At 45.1% G+C, this 24,275-nt stretch overlaps 1 protein-coding gene and 1 long non-coding RNA gene across 5 annotated transcripts in view, besides 3 other annotated features; both read right to left on the bottom strand.

The window, feature by feature from the left end:
• AGAP1 (ArfGAP with GTPase domain, ankyrin repeat and PH domain 1) overlaps positions 1–24,275 on the bottom strand; it is a 637,751-nt gene that overhangs the window by 113,063 nt on the left and 500,413 nt on the right. The gene's annotated exons all lie outside the window — the stretch shown is intronic.
• Positions 4,493–5,456: an enhancer, noted in NCBI's record as "H3K4me1 hESC enhancer chr2:236921919-236922882 (GRCh37/hg19 assembly coordinates)". NCBI's record gives its function as "activates a minimal SCP1, AML or CMV promoter by ChIP-STARR-seq in primed H9 embryonic stem cells {active_cell/tissue: H9 hESC(primed)}" and the evidence as "EXISTENCE:reporter gene assay evidence [ECO:0000049][PMID:30033119]".
• The window catches only part of LOC124907999 (uncharacterized), a 35,153-nt gene continuing 22,412 nt past the window's right edge, over positions 11,535–24,275 (bottom strand). Inside the window, exon 2 of the long non-coding RNA XR_007088134.1 lies at positions 11,535–18,502. This is a non-coding gene — a long non-coding RNA (uncharacterized LOC124907999). The remainder of the gene's footprint in view (positions 18,503–24,275) is intronic.
• Positions 16,912–17,206: an enhancer, noted in NCBI's record as "tiled region #6211; HepG2 Activating non-DNase unmatched - State 15:Elon, and K562 Activating non-DNase unmatched - State 24:Quies". NCBI's record gives its function as "activates a minimal TATA promoter and a strong SV40 promoter by Sharpr-MPRA in HepG2 and K562 cells {active_cell/tissue: HepG2 | K562}" and the evidence as "EXISTENCE:reporter gene assay evidence [ECO:0000049][PMID:27701403]".
• Positions 17,785–18,675: an enhancer, noted in NCBI's record as "H3K4me1 hESC enhancer chr2:236908700-236909590 (GRCh37/hg19 assembly coordinates)". NCBI's record gives its function as "activates a minimal SCP1, AML or CMV promoter by ChIP-STARR-seq in primed H9 embryonic stem cells {active_cell/tissue: H9 hESC(primed)}" and the evidence as "EXISTENCE:reporter gene assay evidence [ECO:0000049][PMID:30033119]".

Below are 24,275 nucleotides of genomic sequence, written 5' to 3'. Positions count from 1 at the left end.
CACCTGGATGCAAGTGTCATCACCTATTTGAAGAGGCCTATCTTAAGTATTCATTCTGCTGCCAGGGAATGGGCTTGGCATCCCAAGAAATGCCCCCTTGTTTCCTAACACCTCTCTCCTTTATCTATTTAGGTACTGGAAGTACTTTTCTTCTGCAAAAACAGAGAGCTTAAATGCTCTTGAAAGAGCCCATGTGTTCACCCAACTCACAGCGGATGATAATGTCATCTGTTTAGCTGCATGGGGCAGGTGAGGCCTGGAGATGGGTCCAGGTGTTGTGCAATTCTGCCCTGCGGTGCAGCGAAGAGGCCTCCCTCCCGAGTTTCCTCCTGCACAACGTCCACTCTTCTGCCACTTGGTCCTCTTTGTTCTTTCTCCAATACATTTACTTTCAGTTGAACATTGGTGAGTCTAGCCTCAGTCATCTGGTATTTAGATCTTATTCTCCCTTGGGTTGGGAGACAGCTGTTAATTGGAGGATCATACCATTAAGACACCCTTCCATTCACAGGTTCCTGAGATGTTAAAGTTACAGCTGCATTCTGGCTGAAGAAAACTCAATTTCACCCATCTTGAGAAAGTTAATTGTTAAAAAGCAACAAAAGTTTGTACATTAGTGCAATCATATATATCCAAAGTTTCTATCTCAGTTTCAGTGTTAGCCACAATGGACAGACAAAAGATAAAATATTTTTGTTTTTTAATCTTGTCTGTGCGTTTCCCTTGTAAGTTTTGTTTGTTTTTATCCACTCCTGACTTCCATCCACAAACTCCTTCCACGTGGATCTGTGAGCAGGTCCCACAGTCAAGAGATCTGGGCACACGTCCTGCCTCTGGAACATGCTAGCTTGTTCTGCAGAAAATCACTTGAGTTATCAGAATCCCAATTTTCCATCCATAACATGATACCTACCTGGCAGGGGGAGTGTGAAGATTAAATGAGATAATGTGGTCCAGAGGCCGGAAGAGAGAGGACATAAAAGAAAAAGGGCTTCAGAGAGATCCTTAGACTCAAACCTTGGCTCTGTCTGTCTCTCCTAAACCAGGATCCTGAGGAAAGTCCCAGAACAGCTGAGTCCACTCCCAGCTCCTAGTGGGTGGTCTCCTCTTATTCCTGAAGCTCAAGTTCTCCCTCTAGACACAGGAAACTCCAGTGTCCACCTTACTTGGGTGGTGTTTTTTGGGTGCCTTTGAGTAAATCACTCAAGTGGACCACTTTAAAAGATACTCCACTTGGGGATGGATATATTTAGTGTAACACGACGTGAGGTTAAAACAAAAGTTAAAATGTTCAGGATACAAATTTTCATGAAGGGTCACTTTATAGACAGTGAATATGTGATAACTTCATACATCAAAAGGCTGTAAATCAGAAAGGAATTTGACAATTATTTTATATAATTTTATAAATTCTGTAATGTATTTTTTTTTTTTTTTTGAGATGGAGTCTCGCTCTGTCGTCCAGGCTGCAGTGCAGTGGAGTGATCTTGGCTCACTGCAACCTCCGCCTCCTGGGTTCAAGCGATTCTCCTGCCTCAGCCTCCTGAGTAGCTGGGATTACAGGTGCTCGCCACTATGCTCGGGTAATTTTTTTTTTTATTTTTAGTAGAGATGGGGTTTCACCGTGTTGGCCAGGCTGGTCTCAAACTCCTGACCTCAGGTGACCCACCCGTCTCAGCCTCTCAAAGTGCTGGGATTACAGGTATGAGCCACTGCGTCTGGCCTGAATTCTGTAATACATTATTAAAAACCGTATGAAATGAGATTGTATGTGTACACATGTTAATCTTAAAATAAACCCAAAGTAAATGAAGAATGCTGTCTTTTAATTGAAAATTCATACATGACCTTGAACACCAAACAGAAACTTACTATAACTGAGAAAAATGAAAGAAATTGTGAGGGACAATTGGATATGCAGTCACTATTTAGTATCCCCAGGAATGCCTTTCATAGCTACTGACAGAGGGACCCCATGTTTGCAGTGCTATCCAGTACTGACAGATTTCAGAGAGGAATTCACGCTCTCCACCCCTCCGAGGTGCTGGGCAGAGCAGATGCTGTGTATTACCTGAGAAGCTAAGGCTGAGAAGTTCGCACTGCTGCAAATCCTCACTCCTGGTTCTACTGGGTCCCGTGTCACCCACCAGTGTCTCCAGGAAGGCCCATCAGCAAGTCTCAGGGAACCATTTGCCCTCAAGGCTAAGGAGGTATGTCCCCTTGCTGTCCCCCAATTTTCTATACACTGCATTTGAAACCAGACCTCACAATTTTTTTTTAAAGGCTGGAAGTCAATAAACAAATTTGTTGCGACAAACCCACATGCATACAAAAAAAAAAAAAAAAAAAGCAAACCCAACATATTTGATAAGGACACAGGGAGGAGAAATGATATGCACGCTAAGTTGAAAAACATTTAAAAAACGGTGAAAAGAGTATACTAATACCCTTTAAAATGCAACAAAAATGATAATGAATGACCGTTTCTTAACTTCTATTCTTTTCCCTCTTTCATTTGGTTATTTCTTGAGTGCTTTGAAAGAAGATACCAATGAGGCCAAGCTCCACTGGTATCTTAACAGACAACAATTTTCCCTTGAGAAATGAAAAAAAAAATTATGATTAAAAAATGGCTCTTTAACAAGCCATAGTGAAAATGTAGATTTGTTTTCCAGATTTCTTTTTCTTTTTTTTCCTGGCTGAGAGCAGGGCGTTCAGCGGCAAGACAGGAGTAATTGTGAAAGAAAGAAAAAAAGAGGATGGTGATATAAATCGGCAAAGGTTAATGACCAGGATGTGAAGAGAGGGACTTGTTTACAGAAATAACGTGCAATTTAAAATTTACAAGAGATTTAATGCCATTGCTTGGCAATCGCTAAAATCAACAGCCCAGAAAACAGTGACATTAAGAAAAATATTACAGTTATAATAATCCCCAAATAAGTCAATTAGTGTTAGGGCACGAGCTTGCGATTACTTGACCCATTTGGCTTGCACTTAAGTGAAAAAAAATGTCCCCCTATTATACCAAGATCGCTGGATTGTGACCTGCTTTGCATCACACGCCCGATGCCCCCGCCTCCCTTATGTGCGCTTGGGCTGATGGTGGTGGTTTTCCCTTGCCTGGCATCAAAGTAATTCCGACCCTTGACATTTGTAATCATAAAAAAAAAGGCAATTTATAATTATGTTGTTCAAATGAAGGTGGGGGAAAAATTCAATCTGCTATTATACAAAAGCAATGACGGCTGTCTTCGGTGAAAAAAGCAACGCAAGTCAATTTGTGAACTTTGGCACCAGACGACCTTTAGAAACACAACAAAATACTGACTTTACAAGCAAATAGCAGCCCATGCAAATGGCCCGGGCCTGCCTGCCTGTGGATTAGAGCTGCAGAGAGCATTATGGAGAATGCTTCCACAAAACAAATTAAGACTGTTACTTAAATGTCACGGCACACTATTGTATTTGGCTACAGATCATTACACCTGATACTAACACTTTTAAAAACTGTAATAACTTGGGAAATATTACACTGAGTGCCCACATGTATAAAGGAAAAGAAAAAAGAGGAGAAAATAGGTTTCTGAAGTAATTTAAACATCACTACTCTACGACTGAAGGGAAAGGTCAAAATTTAAGTAAGCTGAAAGGAACACGAATGGTAAAATAAAACACACAAACAAAAAGATGAAAAGACCACAGGAATGACTCTGCAAACACAATAAGGGAGCATGCGGCTTTGGGCAAATTGCATTTCCATGCCTGTGTTGGAAAGGAAGGGGCGGGCAGGGGATGAGAGGGGAAGAGGCAGGTGGAGGTGTGGGCGGGTGGAGGTGCGGAGGCGTTACCTTCAGTGTTGGTGCTGCTGCTGTATATATTTCGCAGGCTACCAACACGGTTTAGTTTCCATGCTTTGCGTTTGGCTGCATCCCGAGAGCAGAAAGGGGAGAGGGGAAAAAGAGAGAAAACAAAAAGGAAAAGAAAACAAATGAAAAGGGGAGAAAAAAAAAGGTCAAAGTAGCACGTGACGTTGCCTCCGAGCTGTCTGCGCGAAGCGGGTGGGTGCCATGGAGCTCCCTGGGCTGAGCCCTCCAACTCCCCTGCGGTGAACAGAGGAACTCAGGAAGGGCAGAGGTGGAGCAGGGTCATCAGGATTGCATCTAACGTCAAAGAACTACCCACGCGCAGAAGTCTGCTTCGCCCTGCTGGGTTTCACACGTGGCTACTCAAAACAGCACAAAAACTGGCCTCTGCCTTGGGAAATGATGACACCCTTTGAAGGAGCTATGATGCCAGTCGCCACAAGCCCTTTGATTCGGCCAAATATTAGGAGCATGTCAAATCAAGAGACCCTGGTTATGAGCAGTTCATGCCTATGTGTTGGAGAAGGTAGGTTTTAAAACCAAGAGCTGTTAAAAGTGAAGTTGTCTTCCCGAGACAGATTTTGATTCAGGCAATACCTACAGCAGCAAAACCCCCTAGTGCCATTCTGCTGTCCTGGAGGGAGGAGTCTATTCTCTTTGACACTCGGGGGAGTTACGGCTCTAAATGGAGCTCCTAGGAACCAGAAGAGCAAATGCCACCTCAGGTTCTCAGGAGAAAGGACAAAACGCCAAGTCACCGACAGTGGGACGCTGGGTTCGGAAGAGAACCAATTTAACAAGGGCGCAGCAGGCCCACCACTCAGGCTGTGTGCAGTGCCTGGCTGGCTCACTGAGATGGGGCCCCCACCCTCCAGAGACACATTCTCCACCCCACCAGGCCCTTACCCTCCCAACTATCAACTCAGAAATGCTGACATCTGTGGCAGGGAAGACATCGACTTGAGGCATTCTCTCCGCCCTTCAGGAGACATTTTATAAAAACCCAAGAGTTAAACAGGGTGGCTCAACTCTTCAGGCAAATGCAAGCAAAGGCACAGCCCCAGGTCACAGGGCTAGAGGGCTTGGACTGCCGTGCAGGCAGGTGGAATGGAATGTTTAGTGGCGGTCACTGTCATTCACCTTCTGAAGAAGGGGTCTCACAGGACCGTCTGTCTCTCTCAACTGCCACAGGCAGGAAGAGAAACCAGTGCAGGCTCCCACTGGGCTCTGTGTGGCCGTTTGTTTAATGCAGGTGAGCAGCACTTATCTGGACGGGCAGGCCCTTACCCTTCCAGAGGCAGGTCTTAAGCCCGCAAAGCAGGCAGCCAGGCTGGCCCTCTGGTTCCCAAAGCATGAGCTGGCCAACGGTCAGCTCCCTAATCAACCCCAACGTGTTCCTGACTTACGACAGGTTAACTCTTCTTGCCTGCTGTAGTGTTTGAGCCAAAATTCTCCATTTCGAACACTACAGCTGAGGCTGTGGTTGTAGGTTCGGCGTGTGCACCAAGTTCTGGTGGCCAGAAAATGACCCAGGGTGATGACTAGGCGCCTGGGATGAGTTATGTTGCAGAAATGAATCTCAAGTGCTTCTAACTACACTGGATTTCTTTGTAGAGACAACACAAAACATACGCGAGAAACCTGAGCCTTTAAGGAAGCAAATACAATTCTGCGATAAAGCACTGTATATTTAGGATGCAAATTTTACATTATTCACAAGTAAAAACTAGCTGTGATTTAGTTGCTTCTTGATTTAAAGTGATATTAACTTGTTATAACTAAACACATCTAACAATTCCTTTGCAGTGTGAAAATCAACAAATAGGCCAGGTCCTCACGTCTGTAATCCCAGCACTTTGGGAGGCTGAGGTGGGCGGATCACTTGAGGACAGAAGTTCGAAACCAGCCTGGCCAACATGGCAAAACACCGTCTCTACTAAAAATACAAAAATTAGCTGTGCATGGTGGGGCACGCCTATAATCCCAGCTACTCTGGAGGCGGAGGTTGCAGTGAGCTGAGATCGTACCACTGCACTCCAGCCTGGGCGACAGTGAGAGATTCCATCTCAAGAGAATAATAATAATAATAATAATAATAATTTAGTAAGAAACAACCTCTAAACTAGCAGGCATCTGCGGTGTTAAAGGATACGGGTCTACATTTAATTTTTCACAAGTGAAGACTTCTTTATGTCTATACCTTCAGGTTTCTTCACTATCTATAAGGTCCTACCTAAGTATCTGTCTCAGGTAACTCCAAACCTGGGAAAAGGATCTTCAGGTACCCACCGGTACAAATACCATGCATGAGGAACGAAGGAAACCAAATCTGTCCCGGGTCTCAAATGTTTGCTTTAGAAATGCTTGATGGGTATGTACCAGGGGCCCCAGGCATGATGATGCAGAATTAGGCATGGGCTTAATTTTTAACTGCTGCAGCTCTGGTGTCTGGGACAGTATTTCGCAAGTTCCAGAAAGAGGTAGCCATGAGAAGGCTGCACTCCTCAAGAGTACAACTTACCTCTTGCAGCAATATTTACATATAAATAGGCAGAATGGAGGCTGGGCACCCCTCGGGAGGGGAGGGGTGCCCGAGTGCAGAAAGCCTCTTTCCTCGCCCGCTTTATGCCTTCCATTTTTCACACTCTGCTCTCCCATTACCACAGGATGTATAAGCAGGAAGTGAACTTGCAGCCCGGCTTTCTATTAACCTATTGATGAAATAATCCATTTTAATGTGCAAAATGTCGTGCCTGTTTCTTCCCCTTAAACAAATGGATGTTTTCTAGCTGATACCAAGGTCCTGATATGTGCATCGGTCTCCGGGGGCATTGATTGCTCTAAGTTCCCTTGTTTAGAAGCTTCTCAACAAGAAAATACAATCCTATTATCATCAATAACACCTTGGGTTATGTCGGATGCTGCTGCCTGGAATCACTTTGAGGGGCTACGGAGACACTGTGCCAAATGGAACCAGGAGGCTCCGAGCTGATGTTTGGTGCCACCCAGCCACTGCCCACCACTGGCAGCCTCCCTCTGGTCTCAGGCCTTTGGAATAAAAGGCGATTCTCGGGGACTTCAGGGGGACTAGCAATAGACTAAAACTTTCCGGGTCTTTATTTTAATTAAAATTTTTAGTAAAATTCCTGTTCTACTTTCAGGAATACAGTTTCTTCCTCTTAAACACAGGCTAACTTATTTTGATTTTGTTACTAATGTTATTTCTCACAAAATCTATTATTCTAGTATCAAAATTTCACCTGTTATTAAACAAAAAGGCAGCAGGGTGTGAGCATTCCGTTAGTGTTTTCCATTCTGCTATTTTGCTTGCTGCGTAAGCAAAAGTCTCTTTGGTAAACAGAGTTTCACAATGCCTCCCATAGCTATGTATGCGGCAGGATGTCTCAGCACTGTCTTACATGTTTAAAAACACATACGCGAATCTCAATGGACATGAAATCCCACAAGTATAATTTCAGATGTGGTACAAACTGACTGTCAGCTCCAGTGTAGACAACGAGACTGATCTCTTCTCACTTTAGTCTGCAAATTAAATGGAACTTTCTGAGCTCTAATCTGGGTAGGCAGAACAGTCAGTGGGCCTGGGAGAGAATGCCACTCGTGGGAGGACAGCACTGTCCCCACAATGGTGCCAAAACGTGAACCGTGAACTCAGGTGAAACACAAGGGTGCTACATGCGGGTATCACAGCAAGAGGTCAAACAAGGGAATCACCACCGACTGCTGGGAATTTAAAACACACATGGAAAACTCATCATCATGCTGGCTGGAATGTATTTTCTTTTTTCATTTTTTTGAGATGGAGTCTTGCACTGTTAGCCCAGGCTGGAGTGCAGTGGCGCCATCTCAGCTCACTGCAAGCTCCACCTCCCAGGTTCAAGCCATTCTCCTGCCTCAGCCGCCCGAGTAGCTGGGACCACGAGTGCCCGCCACCACGCCCGACTAATTTTTTGTACTTTTTTAGTGTATTTTCTAAGGATTAAAAGGATCAAAACTTTGAAAAACTCAGGTTAAGACAATGCAGAGAGACTCACTCCCAAACTCTAAGACAAAATGTTTATTTATCCTTGTGTAATATAACAATGGTATTAATTTTCCGGAAAACACACACAGAGCCCTCCTGTTGAGGAACACCGAAGGCGTTAGCAAACTGAATTCATGAGGCAGTCTTTGAATTACAAAGAGAGATCACTGTGGCACCTTCTGGTACCACGATCCTAACGTGGACAAAGTGTGCTGATGTCTACACTGGCTATGTATGGACTTTCTGCGTCTTCAGGTTGGCAGATGGGATGGGTGTCACTCCACTCATGAGGGTCTCATGTGGTGCACAAACAGTGATGCACTTAGAAAAGAAAGTGTGATAGAAACTTTAATTCACAGAACATTTCTTAAGGCATCTGATCGTTATAAACAGCAAATCTTGTGTCTGGATGACCAAACGAGGCCTGGCATAATATACTCAGCTCCTTGTAATTACTAACAGACAGTCACGATCTTTTCAAAGACAGACAGAAGGGGAAAGTGTGCAGCTTACTACGTCTTTCTACTAAGTTAGAGTAGCTGGAATCATTTAGCGTTAACAGCTCCCAATTATTACACCTCTCCCTATTTTTAGAAGCTACAGCTTTTCATCTGGGTTCCTGCGACATGAGGAACTTAAATTTTTATTTTGAAATAAAATTTGTTAATTTGTTTCTCTAAAAGTTTTTTGTTTTTTTTTTTTTTACTAACACATGTGAATGCCTGAAAACTTATCACTGAGACTTAAACTTAACTGAACACTTCAAACTGAGACTCTTTTGACTGGCTCTTTGTAAGCAGAATAAAAATATTCTTTAGTCTGCTGGCATGCTCAAACGAGCAGGGTTTTATTCCAAACTCTTCCTCCATCATTGTACCAGGAAACCACAGGCTTATTAATGTCACCTCTGGTCTCCTCCTGACAACACTCTTTGTTGATCAGATAAATATTCCTCAGATAGCTGATTAAAAAATGATGCAGCGCCGAGGCTGTGTGTCCAAGGCGCGTCAGCCATGTTGGACGTCCAAGTGTGCATGAATTACATCCTTGGCGTGAACCGAGCAGGGACGGCTAAATGAGGCACGCTGCAGCCCTCAGAATCAATTATGAGAACTAATAGGATCTTTTTACCTCCATGGAGGAAGGGGATGGGTTGAAGAGGTGTGCCACTCATTTCTAACAATGTCTTGTCTTTGAATGAAACAAATAGCCCTCTCTATTCATAGAAGGGAGCGTAAATTTGTACCTCTAAGAAAAGTCAAATGATCACCTTGTCAGACAGCACTACTCTGTCCACATCAGACATGTATTAATTTATTTAAAAAGACGCCATCAGTATAAATGTCACTGTTGCAGAGGGGAGCGTCTCTGCTCCTTGGAGTGTTTCAGGCTGACTGCGGCACCAGGATCCTTTACACAAAGATCATCCCCCAGGAACCTCGGCAGGTGTGAGCGGATTCTGCTGTGGTTTTGTGTCACTTCCAGTTTAGTGCTCCCGGTATCCCGTGATCTTTTGTCCGTGGCGATTTCATTGTGAGGTTAGAGATTGGGGATTTCTTTTGTGCTGGCCATTTGAACGTTCATTTGCTCAACAAGACGGTGTAAATGTTCTGTTCTCTTATAAAAAGGCAGTGGATTTCTTTTTTTCATAAGATGCAACCCAGAAGATTCTTCGACTATGTGAACTCACTACTTTAGCTGTGAAGGGGCTTGACATGATGGCCGCTTCCTAGCGGAGAGCTCACAGAGAAGGAGTCATGTTGAAACATCAGTTCAAAGGGCCTTTGAAGGGATTAAACAAAACCCGAGGCCAAGCAAATATATAGGACACGTGTTCAGTAAGGAAAATAACTTTGCCGTGATCAGTTTCTTGCAAGGCCAACAGTCTTCGTAATTTGGAGCCACAAAACACAGAAGATAAAACACCTAACTAAGTAAAACTCATGAAATAAAAGTCATCAATCTCCAATTATGGAATTTTAATCTGGTTTCCAACAACTCACAATGGTTCTTTCTTTACAGCAAATATGATTTTCACATTGGTGGCTTCCTTCAACCTCTTACTCTGTGAAAACTGCCAAGGCGTTCTACATAGTGGGCTAACGTAGGTGCACATGGGAAAGACCATCAACCCGGGAAAATAAAAACGAAGCAAGACCTCCAGGATATGCAATAAAACCAGAAGTTCCAATTAGGTAGAGAGTTGGTTTTCCCTTTGGCCTAGAAACACGCAGAAGTGGAGATCAAGGGTACAGGTGCACCCCAAATCCACTGGGTATTTCAGTACAACACCAAGAGTATTAAGTTTTCACAGGGACTGAAAAGAAGTGAGTTGAAGTAGAGTATAACTTCATGATAAATTTCTAATGTAGACTTTTTGTTTTGCACATTGTCAGATGAACGTGAGAAATGCATCGGTGAAAAACAGAAATTTCTCTCCCTGTTTTCACGGAGTACCTGTTCATTTTGCAAAGGAAAGGCTTTTTTGGAGGATGGCTTGTCAGGGAACTGACACTGAGGCTCCATGGCTCCTGGGCTTCCCCTACTTCTGGGTATATGACAACAGCATGAGAACAGAAACCGACGAGGCCTTGGGTGTGGTTGGGCCCCAGCCAGTATCATGAGGCATCCCCTGCCTGGAAAATAACTTTACCGTGATCAGTTTTATTTTCTAGGTCTAGTTATTCGGCTGCACAGTGTTATATGCACTCCAACCATAACATATGTTAGGACTGAATACTTGGCAATCCAAATTGAAAACACACACACAGCAAACCAAATTCTCACTTAGAAAAAAATGAGGTTCAAATTAGTTTTTCAAAACCAAATGACGTGTGGAGTAAAATGCACCTCTTTCTTGTGAGATTTGTTCAGTGGTGGTCACACAATTGTGTGTGTTGAGCAGCACTGGTGCCGGGGAGCAGCCTCAGGTCCCCTGACTTCTGCCCCTTCTCACGTCCCCTCTCCAAGGACTGGCTCGCTGCTCTGTGAAGCGGATAGCAGGCTGGGGGCTGGTGATGCCGAGAGGGGAAGGCTGGTGAGCAGGGGCCACCTTAGCCCTCCTGAGACAGAAATGAGTGATAATGGGAAACATTCATCTCTTTTTTTCCCTCATCCCTTTCTTCTTTTTAATCTCCTCTAACAGAATATATTGCAGGCCCTTTGGTTCTTTTTTCTTAAACACAAAATCTTTTTCAAAAATTCCAAAAAAATTGTTTTTTAATAAAACTCCAAATTGTGTTATCATATTTCAAAGGCAATGGCCAGTTCAACCAACTAATCAGAGGTATAATTATGTAATGACTGCTGCTTGTGCTCTCACGCAGGGCCGTAATTGAGGGGCTGTGATCGCTGGACCACCAGCCTCCACAATGGCAAACAACCACCCTTCTTGAAGTATTTGATCTGCCATCTTTGTAGTTGAGTTCTGACAACTACAGCGGGTGAAATGATACACTTCAGGGTTATCCAGTCAATCATGCTCCTCTTATATGTAAGCCATCTGAACTGAAGACTGGTGAAAATATCTACTAGAGATAATTTTAGCTTTTCCATTTAAGGACTTCTCTGGAAATTCCCAAAAGTATCCTGACGTGTGGCTTGAGAAATCATCATGAAAACCATAAGATACATGGCATTTATTCAGTCAATCAAGCATTAATACAAAGATCAGAGTGGAAAAGCAAAAGAAGAATTCCCAACTTTGGGCTCTTCTTGCTATTATGGAAATCCTTCCTTTAAACACTCACAGATTTCCTCCCATAAAACTGCTTTGACCTTAACTTCACAACTTTTTTAGCAGGCTCTTTGGTTACTGTCAATGAGTAAACAAGGTCATTATTAATCTGGGAGGGCCTGAAAAAGCACTGCAGGGCTAACACAACAACGGAATAAAAAGTGTCTCATTTCTTTCATTTAAAATTAAATACATCAACTTCATTCAGGTTTCAGCAAGAACTCACTGGAAGACTAACATTATGGCAGAAGCAAAGTTAATTTTATGTTAGTTTAATATGAATAAGCCATGGCTTATCTACCTTTTCCATTTTTCCTTTAAAGTTCATATCCGTACACACACACAACTATCACATTGTAAGCGTAACTCCAACAGAGACCTTTGTTGGAGACTCTACAATAAAAAATACTACTTTTTAATGTAAAGTATTATGTTTCCACAGTTTTCCAACCTGTCCCTTATAACAGTTGCATCATGGAGGTAGTATTAACATAGTTGTAGCCATTCCTCATGTTAAAACACTTAGTTATTTCCAATTTTATGCCAGTAAGAATATGAAATCTGTTAAATATAGATACAGATGGTTACATATAGAAATATTTGTAGATATATATGCATATGCAGGTTAGTATACACACATTTCGTTCTTTACTCTGTTGGCCAAGAGAACCAAGAAATGGCACCCCAGAAGCAACGAGCACGCCTAGCTCCAAGACACTGGTTTCTAATACCATTCTCCAGTAAAAGGAACCAGAGCTCTTTGGGAAACAGCCGATTCTAAGATTGTGGCAGGAAAGATACAAAATGCACCTTGTACTGACAGAAAGGAAGGAAAGTGCTCAAACAAAAGAAACCCCACAGAGATGGGGTGTAGGGCAAAGGGTGTGGGAGCAGCCAGAGGAGCCCCCAGGAGCCACGGGTGGAATAATCTGGGCCACAGCAGTATTGGATAGCAGCCTAGAATACAAAATAAATATTCACAAGTCCACATGAATACAAATAGACAACTGAATATAGTCATAAATGGGGGAGAGAAACAGATCTCCCCTGCAAAAGAATTCTAAAAAATTTACATAGACACCCCACCCTCAAGGACAGGGGGTCTAACGCCCAACTCCTTAAGTGCACAGTGACTTCCTTCCAAAAGTTCAGTATGGGCTGTGGAGGGGCACAATGACTTTACAGCAGAATAACTTGACAGACACTACCTCAAGTCAAAGGATCAAGGTCAACATCAGCAGCCATAAATAAAGTTGATGGTATATACCCTTGACAGGATAGGATGGAAATAGCACTTCACCCTGTGGTCCTTCTCCACAAAACTTGTAACTCAAGATGAAACCTGAGAAAAGCATTGCACAAATTCCAGTAGAGGGATTCCTATCATACACCTGGCCCAGCATGCCTCAAGACCTTCAAGGTCATCAAAGACAGGAAAAGTCTGAGAAAATGTCCCAGCCAAGAGAAGGCTAAGGAGGCATGACAATGGAATAGGATTTGGATCCTGGAACAGAGACACGGCATGAGGTTAAAGCTAAAGAGATGCAAATAAAGTGTGGACTTTAATAAAAACATATCAATATTGACTCATGAACTCTAAGAAATGTACCATACTAATGAAAGAGGTAAATTAACAGGGGAGAGGGTGGGCATGGTGGCTCACACCTGTAATCCCAGCACTTTGGGAGGCTGAGGTGGGTGGATCATTTGAGGTCAGGAGTTTGAGACCAGCCTGGGCAACATGGTGAAACAACGTTTCTACCAAAAATAAAAAAAATTAGCCGGTGGCACACTCCTGTAGTCCCAGCTATTTGGGAGGCTGAGGGGCAAGAATCGCTTGAGTCTGGGAGGCGGAGGTTGCAAGAGCCAAGATTGCACCATTGCACTCCAGCCTGGGTGACAGAGTGAGACCCTGTCACAAAAACAAACAAACAAAAACCAAAACACACACACACACAAAAAACATGGGAAACTTGTCAGGGGGAAGTGGTGGGAAGCCTATGGGAATAACCTATAATATCTCCTCAATTTTTCTAAAAGTCTAAAGCTTTCCTAGAAAACAAAGTCTATCAAATACACTCTAATAAGCATCTTGAACAGGAATATTATTTTTTCTTCCATTCATTTCAGTTGTTTCCATAGAATAAAATGCCAAGAGTAACACTGCCAAGTTAAAGGCTAGAAGTATTTGATAGCTTGGAGTACATACAGAGAAAACTATTATCTCGTCACAATATATCATTTCTTCTCCTAAATTTTACAAATTAATGACAATTTGAAATCTTACTGTGGCACACACACTATATGTCACATTTGCTACTAAACTGCTTAACAACTCGAAAGGCTGCCCCAACTGGCATTCAGTTGTGACTGAAAGAAGTACTATTGAATTTATGATTGTGAAGATGGCTTTCAAAGTATGTTTGCTAACTAATATTCTTTGGAGGCAATAATTTACCAATGCCAGTTCTTCCGGATGCTGTGCTGTCTCCATATATTTTATTTGGAATTGTGGGAGGAGGGTATAGCCTCCTGATGCTCTTTGGGGTAGACCAGCTGTTTCCACACAGACGCAGAACACTGCTTGAAATTATTATTTTTGCTTTTAACAGATTACAACGTATGCTTGAACCATGCTCCAGCTAATTTTCAGGATTAGCTTTTAATGATCAGAAATGAGCTTTGGCCCACTGGGAAAAAAAGTTTGTGCTTATGTTGAATGTGGATCCCAGTTTCTAATCAGCACACTAAAATCATCTTTTTAATAACAATGACAAAGTTCGGTAAAGCTGGAAACTTGGGTCACGCTAAGCTGGGTTTGTGAAATTCACCGAGGCACATCTGTGGTCACTGATCTCCCCTGGGAAGGTCTAAACTCAGGAATGGTCTCAAGACCCCCAACTGCCACAGTCAGGAGACAAAATGAGCATCTTTCCTGAGACAGGAAAAACAGTAACAAAGTTACACAGGAGGAGGGTTTGCAGTCACTCAGGCATCCAGAATACACTGTGCTAAATAGGAATATTTGGGGCACAAGATACGAGGTGCCCATTGGCTATTTTCACCAAAGCTCATTGCACCTGTAAAAGCCCTAAGTGAGTTGCCAGAAAAAGGAATACTAAACCGCCCATTCCACAGAGCCATGGAGTCCAGGGGCTGACTGTTTTATGCATCAATCTATACCATGTATGTATTATTTAGGGGTTTTCTCATATTCTTTCATTTTAAGTTCTTTGGAAAAAAAGTTACATATTTATAGATAGTGTAGGACATGCAAACTTCCAGAAAAAAAAAAAAGTGGTAGGACAGCAGTGACCCCTCCACAGTGAGCTGCACACAGGCCTTGTCAGGTTTCAGTGGGGTTAATGACTGAATTTGATCAGGGTGGAAGTGCCCACCAGGCTCTCCTCTCAGCACTGCCAGGTGCACAGCCAGAGAAAGAACAGGCGCAAATCCAAGGGAGAGTGTGGGGTGGAGGGAGCTTGGATGTGGGACTTAAGGGTACCCCATGCGGGCAGCAGCAGCGCAGGGGGGCTGCGGGTGACTCTGGGCTCTGGGCCATGGGTCCCTTGTCTGTGCTCAGAGTCCACCTCCATCCCAGCGTGGCCATGAGGAGGACGTGCGACCACACACAGAGGTGGGTAAAATCTTGGTGCCTTGGTGTGGGCCAGCATCCTCCCCTGCTGCGTGAGGTCAAGGCCCTCCAAAGGACAAAGACCCATGAAAAGAAAGCATCCTGGGCTGGGCGTGGTGGCTCACTCTTGTAATCCTGGCACTCTGGGAGGCTGAGGCAGGCAGATCACCTGAGGCCAGGAGTTCGAGACCAGCCTGGGCAACATGGCAAAACCCCGTCTCTACTAAAAATACAAAAATTAGCTGGGCGTGGCGGCATGTGCCTGTAGTCCCAGCTACTTGGGGGGTTGAGGCACAAGAACTGCTTGAACCTGGGAGGCAGAGGCTGCAGTAAGAGCTGAGACCGTGCCACTGCACTCCAGCCTGGGCAATAGATCAAGACTCTGTTGGCACACAGTGGGCGAATACGTGAGTAATTTTCTAACTTACTTCTGTGTTAGTTCTGTGGTTCCCGAGTCTTCTTTTTCTCGGTGAGCAAAACAAAAGAAGAGCTGGGTGCAGAGCAGGTGTCTCATGGCTGCGCCTGGAACCCAGCGACCCCGGCCCTCCTGTTCACACACAAACTTCACCTTAGGAGACTTGGTCATTTTTCAAATCACACTTAACTTGAGCACATACTGAATTCAACGCAAGAAATATCATATAAATATTTATATTTATAGAAATCTAATAATGAATTGGACTTCTGAAACTTTTGGTAAAATTCAATACTTCTATGAAATCTCGCTTTTCAGGGGGACTCTCACAGTCCTGCCCATCTCTGTGTCCCCCCTTTAAATGTTTAAGTGTCCTGTATTCATCCAGGAGGGACAAGAAGATGCAGAGTTCCACTCTCAAAGGCCAAAGACCGCCAATGAACAGGAATGCATGAAGTAATTCTTTCCAAGGCCTTCTATAAGGGCAGCCAGTGACCCCCTCATGAGAGGGAGCAACATTACTTGTTAACATATTTGTTTCATGTCTCTTTTGTCAGAAAATCAGGATTCGCTTATGAAAACACACAGCCTCTCCCCTACTCACACATGTGCACATGCGTGCAATCAGATACTTGGAAGAGAGTGAGGATGGGAAAGGGGATGAGGGAAGAAGGAAAGTCATTTGCAGACTGTCCAGGTGGGGATGATATTTGAGCTTTGAGTCACCGGCTGTTCCAGGACGGGACCAGGAGCCTCCTGGGCTCAGGCTGGGTGCGTGGGTCATGTTGTGTTTGTCTGTTTATTTTCAGTGCCCAGCACGTGCCTACCACACATGTTCTCAACGAGTCTGCTGAATGAATGACTCAGTAACAAATGGACCCTTGGTAGCACTGCTTGTGCGGGGAAGCCAGCTCTTCCTGGCATGTCGCTTGAGAAACTCTCTGTTCTCACCCATGGCCCTGTCAACACAGACATCCCAAGTCTAGCTGTTTCTCATGGTGTCCTCACCCAGTCCAGGACCAGCCATGGAGGCGTGGGCTGAATGTGCAACGCAAGCTTCCAATCAGGCAGAGATGTCCACAGGAACAAAGCGTGAGCGCTTCAGAATGTATGTGCAATGATGTTCAGGGAAGTATTACTGGTAATTGTTAAAAAAACTGCTGAGGCAATTTCAATGCCCAACGAGAGGGGCTGGCATAACCTATTAGAGACCACGCATTCCACGCAGTGCCCTGTGGCCTTTCAAACAGCTTGTGGAAGAACTGGAGACCCACGGGGTGTTAAATTAGAAAAGTAAAATTCCAGAATATACATGGTATGATCTTATACAGAAACAAAACAAAAGGGGAAATCCCCGCCCCTCCAGGATGTGACGTTCTACCGCTCTCGGCCTCCTGGTCTCCCGGCCCTGGCCTCTGTGTCCTCTCACTTCCCATATTAACTCTTTCAGCAAGTCCTGCCAGCTCTGCTTGCAAGCCACAGTCTGTGTCTCTCCTCCTGTGGCGCTGATGCCTGGGGAAGCCACTGTCACCACTGCCTACTTCAGCCCCTGCAGCCCACTCTGCCCAGCCGCCAGAGGGAAATTTTCAACGTTAACAGGCTCACGTTAGTAGCCACACACCTTCCCCAGCTCCCTACTGTGCAGAGGACACAGAGACTGGGTGGGGGGCACTAGCGGCCTGCACCTGCCACAATGCACCGCACGCTGGGTGGCGTGAAACCACAAAAATGCGTTTCCTCCTCTGGGTTCCTCGGAGGCCTGAAGGCCATGCCAGGGCTCCCCATGAAGGCTCCCCGGAGGACCTGTCCCTTTCCTTTCTCTTGGTTTCTGATGGTGGCGTTTATCTCAGCATTCTCTGCCCCACAGCCGCGCTGCCCCAGCCACCGCCAGAGTCTCCATGTGGTGTTTCCTGTACGTCCGTCTCGCCTCTGAGGGTCCATCCCCTCCCCTCCTGTATAGCTAATGACATCTGCCATGACCCTAGTTCCATATGAGGCCACATTCTGAGGTAGTGGGGGTTAGGACAACTCATCTCTTTCTGGAGGTCACAATTCAGCCAATGACAGATGGATGACAGTCCTTTATGGCATGGACTCTCACCCTCCTCACGCCACGCGGCATCTGCCTCCCTCGCTTGGCCCTGGTTCCTTCCACACAGGCCCTTTCTCATCAGCCACTCTCTGTGCCTGGAAGACCCTCCTTACAGAACAGCACAAGTGGGGCTCCTTCTTGCTGTCAGGGGTCTTCTCCGCCCCCCTTAGTGGCCCTCACTGCAAACACAATCTCTAGTACCTGCCCCGCCACACCATCGGGGCTGATTGCCTCAGGCATGTGCCACTATCTGAAATCACCTGTGTTTTATTCTTCACTGTGCACCTCCCTGCAGGGAAGTGAGTGCCAACGATGTCCATGCCCATCCTGCTTAAGTCAGGCTCGGGCTGGTGTTCGCCCAGCCTCTGCACAGAGCAGGTGCGCCATGGCCTTCTAGGAACAGGCTTGGGGGGTGGGGGATGCACACCCCACCATCAACGCTCAGGGTGGGGGACTGGACTGGAGGAGGGGGACGCAGTACCACTGTCTCTGAACAACTGTTTATTATTTGAGCTGTCACGCGTAGTGATTTTTGTACAGAAAGTCCTCAATGCCATTGACAGGTTCTTGGAAATGTGTGACTTTAAGCAAAACTGTGTACAGCAGGTCCTCAAATAACTTTGTTTCCTCCCACGTTGTTTCATTATGATGCTGATAAGGAAAAAAACTGGCTTCATTATAAGTCCTTTCGCTTCAAGTCGAAGTTTTAAGAACCTATTGATGAATGACATTGAGTGAGGAGTTAGTGTAATTGGAAAGACAAAAATAACAACGTAATATGCAGCTCTCCAGTGATGTTGAGACAAAAGCTGGCCTGCAGGGGTGTGTGTCCTCCCGATGGATGCTGCACGGTTATGGCTACTAACAAACAAACCTTCGAGGACGCCTGCACGTGAGGACACTGGTCTAGAAGCTGGCCTTCACGTATTCTTTCTGACAGTCATTAGAAGCAGGATCAATGGTCTATGAGACTATTCGGAACTCATGACTATAAAACTACGTTCTTGGTGTAGCAGGTTTGTTATGGGCACACATCAGGAGCACCCACAAATCGTGACTTACAAGTTTAATGAATGGAAGTCAGAACACTGCCCCGCTTGACACATCTCAGACCTGACCCCCAACATTCAGGGAAGCATCAAGATACAGGTTCCTCATCTCCTGCTCCCAACAACATCATAATCAGCATCATCACCACCATACCATATTGGTCATCAAACTGCCATCGTCGCCATTACCACTATCATCACCACCACGACCACCACCACCACCATCATCACCACCACCACCTCTCACCATCGTCACCACAATCACTACCACCATCATCACCACCACCACCACCTCTCACCATCATCACCACCATATCATATTGGTCATCATGCTACCAACATCACCATCACCACTATCATCATCATCACCACCACCACCACCATCACCACTACCACCACCACCTCTCACCATCGTCACCACAATCACTACTACCATTGTCACCACCACTATAACTACCACCACCTCTCACCATCATCACCACCACCACCACCTCTCACCATCATCACCACCATACCATATTGGTCATCATGCTACCATCATCACCATCACCACTATCATCATCACCACCACCACCACCACCACCATCACCATCACCACCACCACCTCTCAGCATCGTCACCACAATCACTACTATCATTGTCACCACCACTATAACCTCTCACCATCATCACCACCATACCATATTGGTCATCACACTGCCATCATCACCATCACCATTATCATCATCATCACCACCACCACCTCTCACCATCGTCACCACAATCACTATCATTGTCACCACCACCACCACCTCTCACCATCATCACCACCATACCATATTGGTCACCATACCATCATTATCATTCTTGCCATCACCAGTACCACCACCACCATTAACTCTCACCACTGTCACCACAATCACCACCACTACCCCGTCACCACCAGCCCTATAACCTCTCACCATCATCACCACCATACCATATTGATCATCATACTATCATCGTCATTGCCGTCACCACTACCACCACCACCACCACCACCACCAACTCTCACCATGGTCACCACACTCACAACCACCACCATCACCAACTCTCACCAAGGTCACAATCATTACCACCACTGTCACAACCCCCTTCATAACCTCTCACCATCATCACCACTGTACCATATTAATCATCATACCATCACCATCATCATCACCACTATCATCATCACTGCTACCACCACCACCATCGTCACCACCACCACCACCACCACCTCTCACCATCATCACCGTCACCATCCCTAACTTTTGCTGAGCCAGGTACCATGCTGAGCACTTACCATAGACTTATATTTAGAAAGTTGGCCTTAAAGTATTATCTCATTCCATTTTCCCAGCCTTTCCATGAGTGAAGTACTAATCTATCTCCATTCCAGAGGTGTAAGAACTAGGTTGAAGCCCCACAGCTTTCAGGGGTAAGATAGGGGCTCAGTTAGAGGGACCCTGGAGCCTGCTGGCTCACCTCCAAGGCATCCATCTTCTCACTCCTGTTCCTGGAGTCAAGGAAACCTGACATATGTCTCAGGTCATCTTTAGCCCTTTCTCCTAGATTTCTCCACTAGGTGGTAACTGAGCAGAGCTTCCTAAACACTAATACAAAATGTTTTTCTCCCATCTGCAATAAAATTAGAAAAAGAGGCTCTGAGCAGCATCAGGGTAAGTCAGTTAATTGTACCTCGGCCAGAGCTTAACGCTTGCTCTCTCCTGTGGGCACTTATGCAGTCTTCTTCTATGAAATGATGGTGGCAGTCCACGGTGGTTATTGTTTTAAATATCCTTGCTTGGCAAAACTCAAAGTTGGTCAATCCTTTGTTAGTCTCTCAGTTTACTGACATGATTTTGTTAATCACTGAAATTAAAAATGCCTGGGGTCCACTTTCAGAGTAAAACAGCAGATAACAGTGACCTAACTGCATCCAAACTGTGGGCCCTTCATGTGTAACACCAGCCTCCGAGACCCCGAAATGCTACGTGGAAGACGACTGTGGCTCGTGGTTTCAAAGAATACCCCATAAACAAATGTACTGGGAAGTCCTCTTAAAAATACAATCCCTACAGAAGGGACTGAGCTACTATACAATTAAGAGGGCAGACCAGAACCTTCCATTTGAATGGTCTTCAGATTTTTTAGTTAGGAAAAAAAAAAGTTTTTATTGGTGATTCTGGAGACGGACTGCGCTGGGGAGCTGGAGTGGCTGAGAAGCTCTCAAAACCGCTTCTTCTTAAACAATAAACCAAAAGCTTTCACAAGGATCAACATATGCAGTCCCCACATACAGTGGGCAGTTACCACACAGTCAGTGTAGATGCTGCGGGCGTGGAAGGCACAAGACAGGGCTCCAGGCCTCACAAAAATGTATGGCCGCGCTACAAAAATACCAAACACTAACCTTAAGGTAGTAGAGAAAGGTGCTGGAAAGCATTAGAAATGCAATTTAGAATGACGTCTTAAATTATGAGTTATATTTTAAAAGATCTTCATTAGGCTGGGCACGGTGGCTCATGCCTGTAATCCCCACTTTGGGAGGCCGAGGTGGGCGGATCACCTGAGGTCAGGAGTTCGAGACCAGCCTGACCAACATGGAGAAACCCCATCTCTACTAAAAATACAAAATTAGCTAGGCGTGGTGGTGCACGCCTGTAATCCCAGTTGCTCGGGAGGCTGAGTCAGGAGAATCACTTGAACCTGGGAGGCAGAAGTTGCAGTGAGCCGAGATTGCGCCGTGGCACTACAGTCTGGGCAACAAGAGTGAAACTCCGTAACAACAACAACAAAAAAGATCTTCATTAAAGGCAATATGCATGTATCTATGTACCTATGCATGCACACACACTCCTGTCTTCATTATGGGTAAAGCCAGAACACTGGTAGAATAATTAAATAGGTCTCAATGATACATACATTCAGTGATTTTTTTCTTCTCCTACACTTAGCTAGTGGTGGAATTATTTTTTCTGATAAATTAGACTTGAGTGAAAAAGTGAAAAAATTGGCAAGGATTAATCTCTTTCAGTGGTTCCCAATTTTTAAAAAGTATGCAGGCGTCTTTTGATGAGCACAATTTGGCAACATTCTAAAACGACTTTGCTTTCCATTAACCACAATTTCAATATATGGTTACTTCTGTCTACATAAACCTACACACAGATTTCAGGCCCTTGGCATCTCCAGAGGTCTGTTCCTGCAGGCTGGGAGCTGTGCTCCAGCCTCTCTCCTTACTCCAGATGAACTGCCGCTTGATGGTGAACAGAAGGTCCCCGGGGGCAGCCAGCTGGCAGGGGCTGGCTCTACCGCCAGGTCATGCTGACGTCAGGGCTTGGGTGCAGGAAGGAATAACACTATTTCTCTAATCAAGATGGTTGGCATTTAAATTAAAAGGCAAGAATATTTTCATAAAAGGATCAGTAGGTGGTAATAGAATAATGCTCACCTGTTTACTATTCTCTTAACTACAGCACAACTTAACTATGTGTCAGAGCGTAAGTTAAAAAAATTAGAAGACACCTGTCAGATACGAATCTCCAATCGGCCAAGGGGCAGTAGGAGGCGAGTTTGGCCTAATTTCTGCTGGAGAGGTGGGCAGTGGACGGGTTTCCACCTGGGTGCAGGTGTCAAGCGGGTGCCCTGCTGGCAGCAGCTTTGAGTTGTTAACTACAGATAACTAAATGACAATGGCTGCTACTAATTGCTTATCGAATAATGAAACTGACACAACTGATAAAAGGTTTCAATCTTGAGAAAAATGATTTATCGTATCTCAGTTAACTGGCACTGCTATTTGTGTGACAAACGGTTGGCAAGCCTCCAGTTAATCTCTGTACCCCTCCGAGCCCACGTGGCGGCTTGGGCTTACACATCCAAATCAGGAACAGCTAATAACACTGCAGGGAGGCTGTGAGGGCTGAAAACTGGTCTTTTATTGAGGCTGACCTCCAGACCTACTGCACAGTGACCTCCAAACCCACTGCACAATGACCTCCAAACCCATTTTTGGCAATGGGTGAGGGAAAGTGAGGGAGAGAAGAGCCAGAGGCAAGAAAGAAAGGAATACCACCACAGGGTCATCCTCACCATCACCACACTCAGGCCACAGCTTGCAGTGATGCATCTAGAGTATGGCTCCGAGACAGAGAGATGGAATCCTCAATAGGACCAAAGCATCAGTGGCTTCTGATGAGGTCTGTGCAGCTTTCTTGATGGCAGAATCGGACCCGCAGTGTCAAGCTGCCCTGCTAAGGTTGTCTGCCACACATTGTTGTGGGGCTGCCGTGCACGGTGAATGTGCCTGCCATCTATGATGCACAGAGGGTCTTTCTTCTTTAAGTAGAATTTTTTCTTTCTTTTGTTTGTTTTTTTGAGTCACAGTCTTGCCCTGTCACCAAGGCTTAAGTGCAGTGGCACTATCTCGGCTCACTGCAAACTCTGCCTCTCAGGTTCAAGCAATCCTCCTGCTTCAGCCTCCCGAGGAGCTAGGATTATAGGTGCGCACCACCAAGCTTAGCTAATTTTTGTATTTTTAGTAGAAACAGGTTTCACCATGTTGGCCAGGCTGGTCTCAAACTCCTGATCTCAAGTGATCTGCCCACCTCGGCTCCCCAAAGTGTTGGGATTACAGGCATGAGCCACTGGGCCTAGCCTTTTCTTTGGTTTTTCACTATGGGAGGGTGGTGGGCATGACAGCTTTAAGTAAATTAAATATTTTATTTATAAGCTATATTCCAAATAACATATTTACTACTGTGGTACAGAATAAGATACTGTTGTATCTTATTCTGTTTTTTTTTTTTTTTTTTTTTTTTTTTTTGAGACAGAGTCTTGTACTGTCTCCCTGGTTGGAGTGCAAGGCGCGATCTCGGCTCACTGCAACCTCTGCCTCCCGGGTTCAAGCAATTCTCTTGCCTCAGCCTCCCAAGTAGCTGCGATTACAGGCGCCTACCACCACGCTTGGCTAATGTTTTTGTATTTTTAGTACAGATGGGGTTTCACTATTTTGTCCAGGCTGGTCTCAAACTCCTGACCTCGTGATCCGCCCGCCTCGGCCTCCCAAAGTGCTAGGATTACAGGTGTGAGCCATTGGGCCCGGCCTATTCTAATTTTAGTTTAAAAAAAAAAAAAGAAAGAAATTCATCATGCTCTTCCCCTGAGAAGCTTGTGTGTTTGTGTAACGTGGAAATCTAAACAACTTCGCACTTTGAGCCGAGCTCTCCACTGCTGCCCCGTCTCTGTATCATCGGGCTGCGAGGCGTTGGGAAAGTCGGGACTGAATAAGACAATGCAGGGAGTGCAATTAGGAAACAGTTTGGTAGAAAGTAACCTCTCAGTGTGTCCCCACTATGACGATGACAGTGATGACCTACTTCTCAACTTTCAAACCAGAAAGAAACGACCCCCTTAACGCTGTCCTATCAACAAGT

Source organism: Homo sapiens, chromosome 2 (assembly GCF_000001405.40).
Source record: "Homo sapiens chromosome 2, GRCh38.p14 Primary Assembly".
Classification (NCBI taxonomy): domain Eukaryota; kingdom Metazoa; phylum Chordata; class Mammalia; order Primates; family Hominidae; genus Homo; species Homo sapiens.
The sequence above is the reverse complement of the archived record's forward strand: the minus strand, read 5'-3'. Positions and strand labels throughout refer to the sequence as shown.